General features: G+C 43.3%; 1 protein-coding gene and 1 pseudogene across 11 annotated transcripts in view; one reads left to right on the top strand and one right to left on the bottom strand.

Moving 5' to 3' along the window:
• Positions 1-14,419, top strand: part of ADRA1A (adrenoceptor alpha 1A) — a 119,230-nt gene that overhangs the window by 85,789 nt on the left and 19,022 nt on the right. For 6 of the 11 annotated variants that reach the window (XM_017013094.2, XM_017013095.2, NM_033303.4 and 3 more), the window contains one exon: positions 10,925-11,310. The exons of 3 other annotated variants lie outside the window; for them this stretch is intronic. In XM_017013094.2, the coding sequence (XP_016868583.1) occupies positions 10,925-11,310 (386 nt within the window). Of the gene's footprint in view, positions 1-2,160; positions 2,539-10,924; positions 12,783-14,419 lie in introns of those variants that run through there. 2 more of the 11 variants (NM_000680.4, NM_001322504.1) reach the window with 2 other exon arrangements.
• Positions 9,462-9,795, bottom strand: RPLP1P9 (ribosomal protein lateral stalk subunit P1 pseudogene 9; annotated as a pseudogene).

Genomic DNA, 14,419 nt, shown 5'->3' with positions numbered 1-14,419 from the left:
GTTTTCACATAAATGTGAGTGTCTTGAAGATCTGAAAGATCTCCTTGGAATGTGAGTTAAGACAGGCTCTGTTTCTGCATTTGAGAATCTATCTCCAGCTGTGAGTAATTGAAGCAGGAGCTGTGTTCAAAATGTTGTTTTCTTCCATCAACCAATGTCATCTATTGGCTCAAAAGCATTCATTGAGAATCATGTTGATCACTTAGAGAGACACGAATGAAGGATAAGAAGGAGGGTGTATCTTTAAGGAGACTAAAACCAGGAGGATTGAATGTGTCATTCATTCAGCAATATTGTTGGGAGCCTACTAAATGCTGTACACCATTATGAGTGTTGAGGATACAGCAGTAAATTAAAAAGACAGGAAGCTCTTCCTTCAAGGGAGTTTATAGTCAAGAAAAGCAACCAAAAATAGAAATAAGTAAAGCACAGAAAATGGTGATAAGGGCTATAGAGCAGTGTTCCCCAATCTTTTTGGCACAAGGGACTGGTTTCATGGCAGACAAATTTTTCATGGGCCTGGAGATGGGAGGATGGTTTCAGGATGATTCAAGCGCATTGCATTTATTGTGCACTTTATTTCTATTCTTATTACATTGTAATATATAATGAAATAATTATACAACTCACCATAATGTAGAATCAGTGGGAGCCCTGAGCTTGTTTTCCTGCAACTAGGCAGTCCCATCTGGGGGTGATGGAGACAGCAACAGATCATCAGGCATTAGATTCTCATAAGGAGCACAGAACCCAGATCCCTGACATGTGCAGTTCACGATAGGGTTGGTGCTCCTATTGGAATCTAATGCCACTGCTGATCTGACAGGTAATGTGAGCAATGGAGAGAGGCTGTAAATTTTAAATACAGATGAAGCTTCACTGGCCCACCACACACCTCCTGCCATACAGCCTGGTTTCTAACAGGCCACAGACTGGTACTGGTCTGTGGCCCAGGGGTTTCCCTGCTATAAAGAAAAGAAACTGGTGCTAAATCCACAGGGGAAATGGCAAGAAAGCAAGCTATACTGTAACAAAGAAGGGCTCGTGGATGAGTGGGATTTTGAAAACAGCCTTGAAGACAGAGAGAATTGGACAAATTCAAGTTTGAGTAGATACAGGGGAGAGAGGTCACTGAGTGAAGAGCAGAAGAGTGCAGCAGAAAACAGCCACAGGAGCTGAGGTCACAGTCACCTCGTGAACTAACAAAGTTAGAGTGAAAAGTCTACTGCGGCAGGAAGAAAGCCTTGGTGTTGGAAACTCATAATTCCTTTGTTGGAACAACAAATGCCTCCAACATAGGCATTTGTTGGAGACACTCATAGAAGGTAAACACCTTTGCATGTTCCTGACCATTCTACCTCCAGTATCTATGGAAGTGCCTGGCCTGAGCAGGTGCTAAGTAAATTATGTGTTAAGTGAATGAGGAATGAAGAAGGTTGTGTAGGGCTGGTGGAACCAAATAATAAAGGGGCCTTGAATGACAGAGTGAGGAGCTTGGACTTGATCTTATCAGCAACAAAAAGATAATGCATAACACATGTCTTGGCAGATACCCCATTATGAGGTTCCCTTAGCTACAATACTGAGCCCCTTGATAAGCCTCCCCTCCCTTTAGTTATTTCTGGGAATTTTCCCCCATGGTTTCTTCCCTTTCCATCCTATCTCCTTGGAAAGGACCAGATGAGCACAGCCTTAGCCTCCCAGGCCTCAGATGTGGAGGTGTGTGGCCCGTGTATTATTAAGAAGCTCACAAGTTCTGACGCGACCAGCAGCCCAAACCGTGCTGTGCTCCAAGCAGGAATAGAGCTAATTCCATTCCCGCTTCATGCAATCAGAATTGCCTGGGCCCCTATGCAGACGCACTGCATGACAGCAGCCTTTGAATTCTCCTCCCACCCCTCCTTTCCGTGATCTCAAAGTAAACCTCTAGGATAGACATGAGGGTGTCCTCCCAAAGCCTTCCCCAAAACCTCAGTTTCCCCTCTTCCTTCCAAAGCCTGCCCTCTTCCCTTCTGGCCATCTCTCCACCACGTTCCTTCATCATCCTGCTTGTCATGGGCTGTTTTCCCCTTTTGACTGTTTCCATTTGCCTAGAAGCATCTGCTCTTACAGATAGGAAGGGGTAGCATCAATTACTGTTCTAAGTCTTTACTTTTACAGATGAGGAAACTGAGGCCCAAGAAGGAAAAAATGACTCACCCAGCTTTAAACAACCAGTTCACCATGCAGCAGTGCTGGGGTTGGAGGTGATGGAGAAGGAAAATTTGGAAGGTGTTTCAAGGAAAGACACCTGTGGGGTTTGGTGACCAGTTGGAATGTAAGAGGCAAAAAAAAGGGAGAAGGAACTAGATACATATTCTTCTGGCAGGAACTGTTAATTGGGTTCCTGCTCCCATCTTGCACTACAGTGAGAGAGATAACCTGGTCTCCTACCATTGGAAAGCATATCATCTGTGCTCTGGAGGATGAGACAATCAAAGAAAACAAGTAAATAAGAAAACTTAAAAACTGTGATATGTACCGTGAAATAAATAAGCCATTCAGCAGGTGTGAGTTTGAAGATTACTCTTCTTTAGACTGGGTGGTCTCAGGGAGAGATTTTGTGCAGAGACAATTAAAAAAATTTATATATATATATATTTTTTTTATTATACTTTAAGTTCTAGGGTACATGTGCAGAACATGCAGGTTTGTTACATATGTATACATGTGCCATGTTGGTGTGCTGCACCCATTAACTCGTCATTTACATTAGGTATATCTCCTAATGCTATCCTTCCCCCCTCCCCCCACCCCACAACAGGCCCCAGTGTGTGATGTTCCCCTTCCTGTGTCCAAGTATAGTCATTGTTCAATTCCCACTTATGAGTGAGAACATGCGGTGTTTGGTTTTTTGTCCTTGCGATAGTTTGCTGAGAATGATGGTTTCCAGCTTCATCCATGTCCCTACAAAGGACATGAACTCATCCTTTTTTATGGCTGCATAGTATTCCACAGTGTATATGTGCCACATTTTCTCAATCCAGTCTATCATTGTTGGACATTTGGTTTGGTTATTATATTATAAAAATGTTTTAAATGGAAGACTCATGAAACAATGGTGACCTTAGTAAAATTGACAAGGCTTGGAAAATACACTGGCTTATGAAAGGAGATCTGCTTTTAAGGAAGCAGCCCATAAAAGCACATGATGACTTCCTTATTGCTAGCTTTTTCCTGAACAAATAATCTTTTAAATAAAGGGAGTGGGGTAGAGAATCTTGCTATCTTCTGAGAGTGTTTCAAATCAAATTATTTATTGGACACAAGGAGGTCTTCTAGGGAGAAATGTCTACATGTGGGGTCCCCTATTACTCTTTCCAGCGTTCTTATGGGCGTTGGGGTCCAAATCATGCATTTGGGTGGACCTGCTCCTTTTTCCTAAAAGGAGAAATGCTTCTTAGGCTTTGTTAACTGGTGAGACGAACCATTTGACAAGTTTTAATTCCAGCAGCTCAGACTCATCCAGGATGAAATTCCTGATTCCTCAGAGCTCTCCTTGGCCAGCCAGACAGATCCTGTCAAGAGAACTTTAGCTGCCACTTGCAGAAGTTTGAGGGATGAGAGGACATCTCCCCAAGTGACCTCTTTCCTTGCCTGGATTGGAAGGAGCAATGGTTTTTCACAGTAACCATAGACCAACGTGCCTCAGTCCCTGGAAAAGTGGGCAGCACTTCCATCCCACACTGGGCAGGCCCCCAGGGTGCCCTGAGCCTGTCTCCTTCGGGGATGTGTGCCCAGCACAGTGTGCCCGGTTCCCCTTACTCACTGTACCCTCCCATGCCATGCTCCCATGCTTTGCCCCATGCAAGAGGAGAGCTAATTCCATTCCTGCTCAGTGCCACCTTCCTCACTTTACCAACCACTCAAGTTTTCTGCCAGAAAGTTCAGAAAAGACTCCACATGCCAACACTCTCAAGTGAGCATACACATGACTTTACTCAGATACATGAATGGAGAGCTGTACAATTTCAGGCCCCAGTTAAATAGGGGAAAAAAAGACTAGCGAAGTCCTTCCAAAGAGGCACCGAAATCACATCTGCTTGCTCTGTTGGTAAGCTAGATTCTATCATTAGGACATACAGGCTAAGTGAGGTTCCCCAGCCAGGGTACAGCTTGTCCTCTCTACCTGGGATCCAGGCTGAACCATCTTTACCATCACCAGAGAGCACTGCGAGAAGCTAATACAAGCTAAGGACTCTTCCCAGGAAAATGTATCTCTGGACATACACATTTCATGTCAGTCATGGGAAGTCTGTCTGTGAACCTGAGGTTGCAAGCCTAAGGTTACTGTCCATGGTTATTCTGACCACCTTCTTAGAGAGCCCTGGTCACCATCTAAGGTAGATAATCTAAAAACTTCTTGCTGACTGAGAGCTGCCCAAGTGGCCCCACATAAACCCCAGGAGGGTTCAGGCCAAAGTAGTTCAGCACAAAGGCATCTGGTAGACTCTGGTCTGCTCTTAAACTTTGACTCTATAGCTTGTCTCTGGGGTTTAATTTGATGGGGCAGTTTTCTTCCTGGTAAGAAGGAGCCATTGGGTCTGGCCTGAATGTTACTGGCACTGGAGCTCCTTGGCCTGTTGGTGTGGCAGCCTGTCTCTCTCCTCTGCTCATTGGATGTGTACCAGGCACATCGGAGAGACCACTCGCTGAACAAGGAGAAACAATTAAAGATTATTTTCTCCCATGGTCATGTAACATTAGCTTCTTCTTTGGAGTCCACATTTTTTTAAATTGAGATCATTCAAACTTCATTTCTCAGAATGTAAGGCCCTGCTGACAAACCCTTCTGAACAGCACACTCTGACTTTTAAAATAATGCAATTATTGAGGATACTACTCCCCTCTCTTCTTTCTCCTTATCTCTGCAAAACCTGTTGTCATTCAGTGAAAGCTGGACATACTGCCATTAACACTTCCATGTCATCGTAGGGTTGCTAAACGGCACACAAAGATCAGGAGTGGAAATGGGTGAGGTGGAGCCGAGTTTGGGTCCAGCTGTGTGATTTGGGGGAACTACTCGCGTCTTCAGCCTTGCTGTCTTCACATATAAAGGACAGGTTGACAGCTCTGATCTCTAAGTGCCTGCCAGTCTTCACATTTTAGCCTTATGCAACTCCAGCTAAGTAGGGTTTACCATAGCCCAGTGTCTCTCAAGGTTGTCATTAAGATGTCAAGTTTTCCAGGGGGTAAAATGAAGCGCAGAAGCTGGAGGCTGGAACCAAGAAGACTGACTCACAGCTTTCAGCTTCCATATCAAGTCACCCTCATTCTGAGAGAAACAGTTGAACTAAGGAGGAACCCCCTAATGACCAGTGCTGGATAGGAATTCGAGAACTCAGTTCCTACTCTCACCAACTTTTGAAGCTAACCATAGCACTCACCGGTGTATCAAATTCATGGAGGAGACCAGCATGGGCAGGAAAAAATGGTTTTATCTTGTATTGGAGCCATTGAGGCAAATGTTGCTGTAATTTTATAACTGTAAAAGGTGACTCTAGTCGCCAAGCCTTTACTGGGATGCCTCCTAGTGCCCCCTCATAAGCCTATTAGATGAGCCCCAGTTCAAAAATGAAGTCAGATTTTCCCAATGGATATAGCATTCAGTGGAAAGACATAGAGGCAACATTTTAAATTATTCGTTTCAATTTCTTCTTGGCATCTAGAGGCCTTTACAGTGGAAGTGAGGATTCTGAATCTCCATGAATGAGAATGTTGATGGTGTTTGGCCATAAACTCCTGTTCTATCCACCTCAGTCTGACCGGCGTAAGTTGGTCAGGGTGTCCAGAGGGTCAGGAAAGAGGCAGAAATTCTGCAGCAGACCAAATGGTGGAAAGAAACTCAGTGACAGGAAGAATCCTTAGGCTGTGGGGATTTTCCAAAGCCCAAGAATTAAACCAGGCAAATTCACATGCAAAGGATGGCTTGAGCTGCAGGGCAAGGTGTTCAGGGGATTAAGTCAGGAGCTGTTGGCTCTTCTTGAAGCAGAGATTGTTGAGGAGAAAACCATAGCTACGGTGACCAAAGAAGTAGGAGCCCCTATTCTCATGTGGGTGATTTGGAAGTCTGGCTCTTCCTATGAAGCATCATGAGAAAAACTAGAGGGTCTGATGCCAGATGATAGAGCAAGGAAAAAATGGTAGTAAAATAACATTACAAAAAAACCAAATGACTGAACTGAAATGGTGGGCAAAAAAAAGAAGAATGAGACAGCAGAAAGAAGTCAGGGTTGGGAGATAATATGAGGCTACAGCCATCACGCAGAAAAGAAAACCAAGCCACACTGTGAAGAAGAACCATGGCAAGAACACAGAGACACAGCCATTCATTCATTCAGTCAGTCAGTCCATCCGTCTGTCAGAAGGTCGGCCATTCATGCAGCAAAAACTAGGAGAATGCCTTCAAGACTCTAGCATTTTACTGGATTCTGGAGCTCCGTGAGTGAGCAAAGCCGGCCGGATGGCTGCTCGAATGGACTTCCCCACAGAGTGACTGGGTCAGAGGCACCCACCCCTGAACCAGGCTGGTTCAGCCCTGACCCTCTAGGTCCTGATGGCTGGAGGCCAGGAACAAGCATTCTCCAGCTGTCTTCCCACCCTAAAAACATAGCCAGTCCTCAGGAAGAAAGAGATTTGGGAAGAATGGAGGCTGAGGATAGAACTAATGCAGAGTTCAGAGAAAATAGAACCAGACGGGGAAGGTTTGGGCAGAGAAAGAGAGAGCAGGAGGAGGGTTTGGGGCCATGCAGCTGCTTTCCAAGCCCAATTCCAGCCCCATCTCTCCTTTCTAGGAGAGGAAAAATAAAGGAAGAAATACGTGGATGGGAATAATGTCAATAAGGAGAGGAGCAGTTCTTTTGCTGTCCTTTTTTTTTTTTTTTAGACAGGGGTTCACTCCCGTTGCCCATGCTGGACTGCAGTGGTGCGCATTAGCTCACTACAACTTCTACCTCCCGGGCTCAAGCAATCCTCCTACCTCAGCCTCCTGAGTAACTGGAACTACAGGCACATGCCACCACACCCAGCTAATTTTTGTATTTTTAGTAAAGATGGGGTTTCACCATGTTGCCCAGGCTGGTCTCAAACTCCTGGTGTCAAGTGATCTGCCCACCTTGGCCTCCCAAAGTGCAGTGATTACAGGCGTGAGCCACCATGCCTAGCCCTTTTGCTGTCTTTTCTCACTCTTTGGAAAGTTCTTGAAGGAAGCATAGCTATGAGTCTCTCATCTAACCCCAGCCAGTCAGCAGCTGCTCAAAGAAAATCACATGGCTCCCAGCACCTGTTCCCCATCACAAGGGAAGAATACTCCAAGCATGAGAATGGATCCTGCAACCTGCCCCTGGTGGAACTATCAGTTTGGGAGCATGCAAATCCGTGCTAGGCTTACACACATCTGGCTGCTGTCACACACTTAATAGGATAAACCAAACATTGTCATTTACAGGAAGGTCTCTGGTCTGGAAGCATAAGCCAAAATCTAGAGATTTGCTTGGATTAAAAAGAAAATATTCCTGGGGTTAGGCCTAGAGATTATCTGACATTCAGATCTTAGTGTAAATTAGTTTTAATCAACTCTCTTTCTCACCCTATACCTATACCTGAGCCATGTTGAAGAAATGAGTGTTTTGAGTGGGGTACAGAGAGGGGGAGGCCAGGATTCACCTGTGAAGACTGGAACACAGCAAGAGACTAGAGAGAGGGCCCAAGAGCTTGGCTCTGGGTCAGCCATACCTGGAATTAAGAGCAGGGCCACGCAAGGAAAGAAGGGATGGGAAGGAAGTGACTAAAAGGAAATGTTGAGATTTACGAGTGCAAAACTGGGTTCTGTAAGCAGAATGAGTGTAATTGAAGGAATTATGGGAAATTCCAAGACTCTCAAACCATATTTATTAGCATTCACATTCATAGTGCATATTTTTTTTTCTTTTTTAAAAATTGAAATTCTTCAAATAAGGAAACGACCCTCCCCTCCCTCGCTGATTTACAGAGTAGTGACATTCCCAGACAAGGTGGGTTTCAGTGTGCTCAGCTCAGACATTCTTGTAGTCATTAAGCACAGGCCCAGGCAGGTCTTTGTGAAATGGGTTTCCTTAATCACATCACTGTCACTATTAGTAGGAAATATTGGACAATATATAGGTTTCATAATGTAAGACAAATTTTTTTCTGGAACTGACCGCATTTGCACAAAACCATCAGTCATGTTGGCATTAGCCATTTTTTCCATCACAGATGAGGTTCGAAAAAGCATTTTTCCAATTCAGCTTCCCCCAGCTGCACACTTTATCACTCCCCATCAGCTATCCTCCTAAGAGATGTATTATTGCAGTATATTTGGAGATTCCACAAAGGAGCATGGGCCCTGAAATCAATCACACTGCCTAATTTCAAACCTACCAGTAACTATGTGAGTGACCTCGGTTGAGCTACTCAAACTCATTAAGCCACAGTTTCTTCATTTGTAAAATAGGGAAGAGTCACATAACTCTTCATGTTACTAACGATGATTAAATCATATGGAAAGTGTTCAGCACAGTGCCTTGCCTGTTTCAAATCAGGCATTCAAAGACTGTAAACTTTATTATAATTATAGGACAACATGAAAAGCTTTAGAGCTAAAGAATAAAACTTTCTCACTTTACATGTTTTCCAAATAAACACCCATTGTGTGTGTGTGTGTGTGTGTGTGAATTTGAGACACATGGAACTTAGCAGGGAGTGTGCTTCAGAGGTAATAAATGCTCCCATCAACAACCACACTATTGTGTCTTCTTTGGGTTCTTCAGTATTTAAGTTTACTCTTTGTTTATATTGATGAGCTTTTTGACTTAATTTCAGAGCACTGTTTGCCAGAGTGGATTTTAATAGCACCAGCAATTTGTCACGGCTCTGATAGGTCCACAGAGCAGAGAGGAAAAGAAAGACATAAAATCAAGACCTTAGGTTTGAAACAACAGCAACAAAAAAATTGTTCAGGGCCATTAGGAATCATCCATTCAACATACTCCTTTTTCAGATAAGAAAACTGGAGGCCCAAAGGCATCATAGGAGTTTCCCAAAGCCATTCTACCAACTGTACACGAAGCTGTGACTAAAAGCCCGCGGAGAAGGAAAAGGAGCTTGGGAGCCAAGAAAGAAAAGAAAGGAGGTGGAAGGAAAGTCAAGATGTTATTTTGCAATTTCTCTGAAAGGAGTGAAGAGGGACGTTTGGGATTTCATAATTCATAAAGCTCCTTTAGCAAAAGCCCTTGGAAGTCTGAGAATCAGAGAATAAAGAACATTGGATTGGGAGTCCCATACCCTTTATCCATCACTCTTATCAGTATTGTAGCTATGAGGTTTGTGACAATCTCTTTAATAAGCATTTTTAAGAGTTCAGCTTTTTATTGAACGTGTTATAAAATAGGTTTACTCAAAAAAAAAAAAAAAAAGCCCATATTATCATCAGACTCCAGATTCTTCTTTCTTTGCTTCCACCTTCTTCTTCTCGGCCTAGGCCACAGTGACAGAAGGGCAGGACCTCCCGCAGGTACACCACCAGCTGCTGAGCAGGTCTTCCCACCCCGCCCCTCCACTGCAGAGGAGGCTCCCGAAGTTGACGATGGCCAGGGCCTTGGCAGACAAGCCAGGCCAAAAGCCGTCATCATTTACCCCAGCTGCTTTAGAAACGACATTGACCTTATCCTATGTGATGATCCCCTCAGCGTTATACAGAATGAGGGCTGAGTCAGTGCAGGCGAGCTCTGAGATGGAGTCCGTGGTGTGGACAAGTGCAAGGCTGGGCTGCCCGGAGTAGTGCTAGTGCTGGATGCAGTGAGGGCCTGACCCCAACGCAGCCTCAGCTCAGAAGGGCAGAGCATCTTGGCGGCAGCTGGGAAAAGGCTAAATAAGCATTTTTTAAATTTGTAAATTGAGTAATTGGAGGAGATAATCCTTAAGGTTGTTCCATTTTAAGACTTCACAGTTTTGTTCTTCTGCTGCGAAATGCCCTGTGGCAGTCTCTGCGCAGGATGTGACGGGTCCTGAGGCCTGGTTCCTGCCGTGCACATCAACGGGTAGGGTTTGGGTAGGTAGAGAAGGTGGAAAAGGGCATCAAGGACACAGTGGCCCAACTTGAGAGGACAAAAAAAATGATCAATGACCTGGAGAAAAAGTGTAGTGAGTCTGGCTAGAGAAAAAATAGCAACTAGTCATATTAGAAAGCTGGTTAGACCAGAGGCTGTGGAGGACTCCGAATGTGAAGCAAAGACACACATTTGGGAGACATCGAGGGATATTGACAAAGGGAGCTAACGGTGACATCAAAAGACATCATCTAGGAAAAGTGATTGAGAATCACTGGCCCAACTTTGGCAAGGCCAATATTGTGTAAAGTTGAGATTCTCATCAAAATCCATAATTCTAACATTTGGGAGGGGAGGAATTCATAAACACTGAGGCTGTGTCTGTTGCATAACACTGCATCAGAGAATAAAGGGCATGTTCAGATAACCGAATTTTAATATGGATTACTTGCATGGATTCCAACTTACTTTTCAATTTAGGCAAAACAATTTACATATGTGGACTCAGTCTGAGTTTCACATTTTCATTTGGTAAAACTTCACAGCAGCTGTTGGTCACTGAGAGCCAGTGCAACCCTACCCACTGGGCCTGCTCCTGTAATTAATGACACACGCGGACCAAGTAGGAATGGTCTTTGAAGATATTGCAAAAGGGTGACAGTCATAGGAGCTAGTCAGTCAAATGTGAGAAACTCATATGTGTTTGGGATCATTTTAACCGTTTAAAAATACAGAAAGATGTCTGTTTGATTGTTTTCCTAGCCAATTGGCTTGCTGGCTTTCAAATAATATGTATAAATCTGTGTGTTTTCTTCCAGGGTCTTTCTTCCCTGATTTCAAGCCCTCTGAAACAGTTTTTAAAATAGTATTTTGGCTCGGATATCTAAACAGCTGCATCAACCCCATCATATACCCATGCTCCAGCCAAGAGTTCAAAAAGGCCTTTCAGAATGTCTTGAGAATCCAGTGTCTCTGCAGAAAGCAGTCTTCCAAACATGCCCTGGGCTACACCCTGCACCCGCCCAGCCAGGCCGTGGAAGGGCAACACAAGGACATGGTGCGCATCCCCGTGGGATCAAGAGAGACCTTCTACAGGATCTCCAAGACGGATGGCGTTTGTGAATGGAAATTTTTCTCTTCCATGCCCCGTGGATCTGCCAGGATTACAGTGTCCAAAGACCAATCCTCCTGTACCACAGCCCGGGTGAGAAGTAAAAGCTTTTTGCAGGTCTGCTGCTGTGTAGGGCCCTCAACCCCCAGCCTTGACAAGAACCATCAAGTTCCAACCATTAAGGTCCACACCATCTCCCTCAGTGAGAACGGGGAGGAAGTCTAGGACAGGAAAGATGCAGAGGAAAGGGGAATAATCTTAGGTACCCACCCCACTTCCTTCTCGGAAGGCCAGCTCTTCTTGGAGGACAAGACAGGACCAATCAAAGAGGGGACCTGCTGGGAATGGGGTGGGTGGTAGACCCAACTCATCAGGCAGCGGGTAGGGCACAGGGAAGAGGGAGGGTGTCTCACAACCAACCAGTTCAGAATGATACGGAACAGCATTTCCCTGCAGCTAATGCTTTCTTGGTCACTCTGTGCCCACTTCAACGAAAACCACCATGGGAAACAGAATTTCATGCACAATCCAAAAGACTATAAATATAGGATTATGATTTCATCATGAATATTTTGAGCACACACTCTAAGTTTGGAGCTATTTCTTGATGGAAGTGAGGGGATTTTATTTTCAGGCTCAACCTACTGACAGCCACATTTGACATTTATGGGGAGAGGGCCTAGAGAGGAAGAGCATTAAGATGGTGGCCGAGATCCAGACACATTATTTTTAGAGCAAGTCCTGAAACTCCACCCTTTCTGATACATCCAATTTCTCAGCTTGAGGGAAACTTGGCAGTGAGGTTTACCTTTGACTGCACTTTGAATGGATGCTGCTCCTCATTTCCCAAAGATGAGAGTGAGGGGCACTCATGATGTCTTGGAATGTAGTGTTCTCTATCCTTGGGTCAGGAGAGGGTTGAAAGAACCAACCAGGGTGGTATGGCTTTTCCCAAGAGAAAACAATAGACCTGAGCATCATTCTTTCAATTTAACTACTAGAGAGAAAATCCATTAAACAGTTCCAAGATCAGATGATGATAGGCTTTCTCTCTAATATCTTTAAAGAGCAAGAGGTTGGTGTGGCTGTTAATTTCTTGCAAAGATAGAGGCTGTTCACTTACTGCACAGCCATTTCAACATGGCTTACAAAAGCCTTTCTTGACAAATCACTTACCTGTTCCAGAACTCTGTTATGAAAATCCAGAGCTTATAATATTTTGAAAGGCAAAAGATTGTCTCCCATTACTTCTTATCTGCTTCACTATTGCATAATGAATGAGCTTCACCTGTGGCATGTTGGAATGAGCCTTATGATCCAAGTACATTATTCCCGAACTTTGAAAAATACTAATGCTTAGCTTCAGACAATACTGATGGATCACCAAAGAACTGTCTAACGCAGGAGTTTGCAAACATTTTTTGATAGAAGGCCATTTGTTCTGGTAAAAGATCCAGTAGTCAACTCAACTTCATCTATTCCTACTTTTCTGCAAGAGCTTGGGGAACATGCTATATTTTGCTTTATGTATACCAAATTTTGGTAAACCATAATAACTCAGTACAGAACTTGTGTATCTCTTTTCTGAAATGCCTGGAACCAGAAGTGTTTCAGATTACAGATTTTTTCAAATTTTGAAATACTTGCATATACATAATCAAATATCTCTGGGATGGGACCCAAGTCTAAACACAAAATTCATTTATGTTTCATATACACCTCATATGCATAGCCTGAGGGTAATTTTATACAATATTTTTAATTGACTGTTTTTGACTGCAACCCATAGACATGAGGTCAGGTGTGGAATTCCCCACCTGTGGCGTCATGTCGGTGCTCAAACAATCTCGGATCTTAGAGCATTTCGGATTTCAGATTTTCGGATTAGGGCTGCTCAAGCTATAGATTACTAAGGATGAAGATGGTAACTATAAGTAAAAATTAAAATATGGCTGTCTTTTCACAATAAGGATTTAAAATAGAATTTAAGTTTTTGGAATAATTCTCGACAACAATCAGTGGTCTAAAACTAAAGACCATTTGCCTGGCCTCTTTCCTCTATTAGGGTAATTTCCTCTAACAAATTCAAAGCAGCTGTAACCTTCACAGCAAGAGTAGCGGCCTCAACATCTTTTTCTTCTTCTCTTGCAGCAAAATGATAATTTCCTTAAATTCTTCTTAAAACCAAATCTCTTTCCACATTGCAATGGAGGGTATGTTTGCATGTGGATTTGGGTTTTGTTATAGGTTGTATTTAGACCTGGAGTGTGACTGTTTTTTCAGCCTTTTTCTGAAGAGTGTCTTCTTACTGGCCAGATACATATTCAGCCTTGTGTTCAGAACTTGGATTCTGGCACTGAGATGTTGGCCGGATTTTTAGACTCTTCTGTTCTCTCTCTGTGTCCCATAAGAGCTCTGCCAGATGTGAATGTCCTATTATAGAGGCAGGCATCTATGAAGAACTTGAATATGCAAACCCTTGCTTCTCTTTGGCCTTGATAGGAAAGATCAGTTTCATTGTTGACAAGAGCTTGGTCCAGGATCTGAATAAGAAAATCACTTGCCCCACTCCCCCTTACAGGAAGAGCGTCCCAACAGGAAGAATGATTATCGTTTTTCTTCAACAAATTATGGTTCCATGTTTGAGATGATCCTTTAAACACCTTTACAGACATATTAAATTTTAGATACGGGAAAGCTTAGAAATACAGGAAATCTGGCCCTAATGCCACATCTAATCAAAATAAACAACTAGAGAATCTTTCAGTCAACGGATTAAAACCATGACAATTGTATCCATGTAAAACTATCCGTAAATAATTTTCTGCTACACTCTTCTCCAGCCCCCTCTCTCCAGGGAGGTAAACTTTTAACATTTTTTTCCTTTCCCATAGCATGATACACCAAATTTACAAGAAATTGATAACGTCACCCAAAACTTAGTCAAAGTGGGGTAAAGAATATATGAGTTGAATTACTTTTCGCTCATTCCCCCTAAATCTCTGTACCTTTAAGCATGCCAAAAAATATCTAAAATTGTTGCAGTTTAGCAAATGATTGTCATATTTATACTCACATGTTTACTGCTTCTATTTGGAGTTTGAGGAATTTACCCAGAGTAACGATGTCTTCTCTAATGTGTTATAAAAAGTAGTTGCTTTGGGATTGTCTAAACATCACAAAAATCAACGTGACATTATGG

Source organism: Homo sapiens, chromosome 8 (genome assembly GCF_000001405.40).
Source record: "Homo sapiens chromosome 8, GRCh38.p14 Primary Assembly".
Classification (NCBI taxonomy): Eukaryota; Metazoa; Chordata; class Mammalia; order Primates; family Hominidae; genus Homo; species Homo sapiens.
Note: the sequence above shows the minus strand (reverse complement) of the source record. Positions and strands in the feature narration are given on the sequence as shown.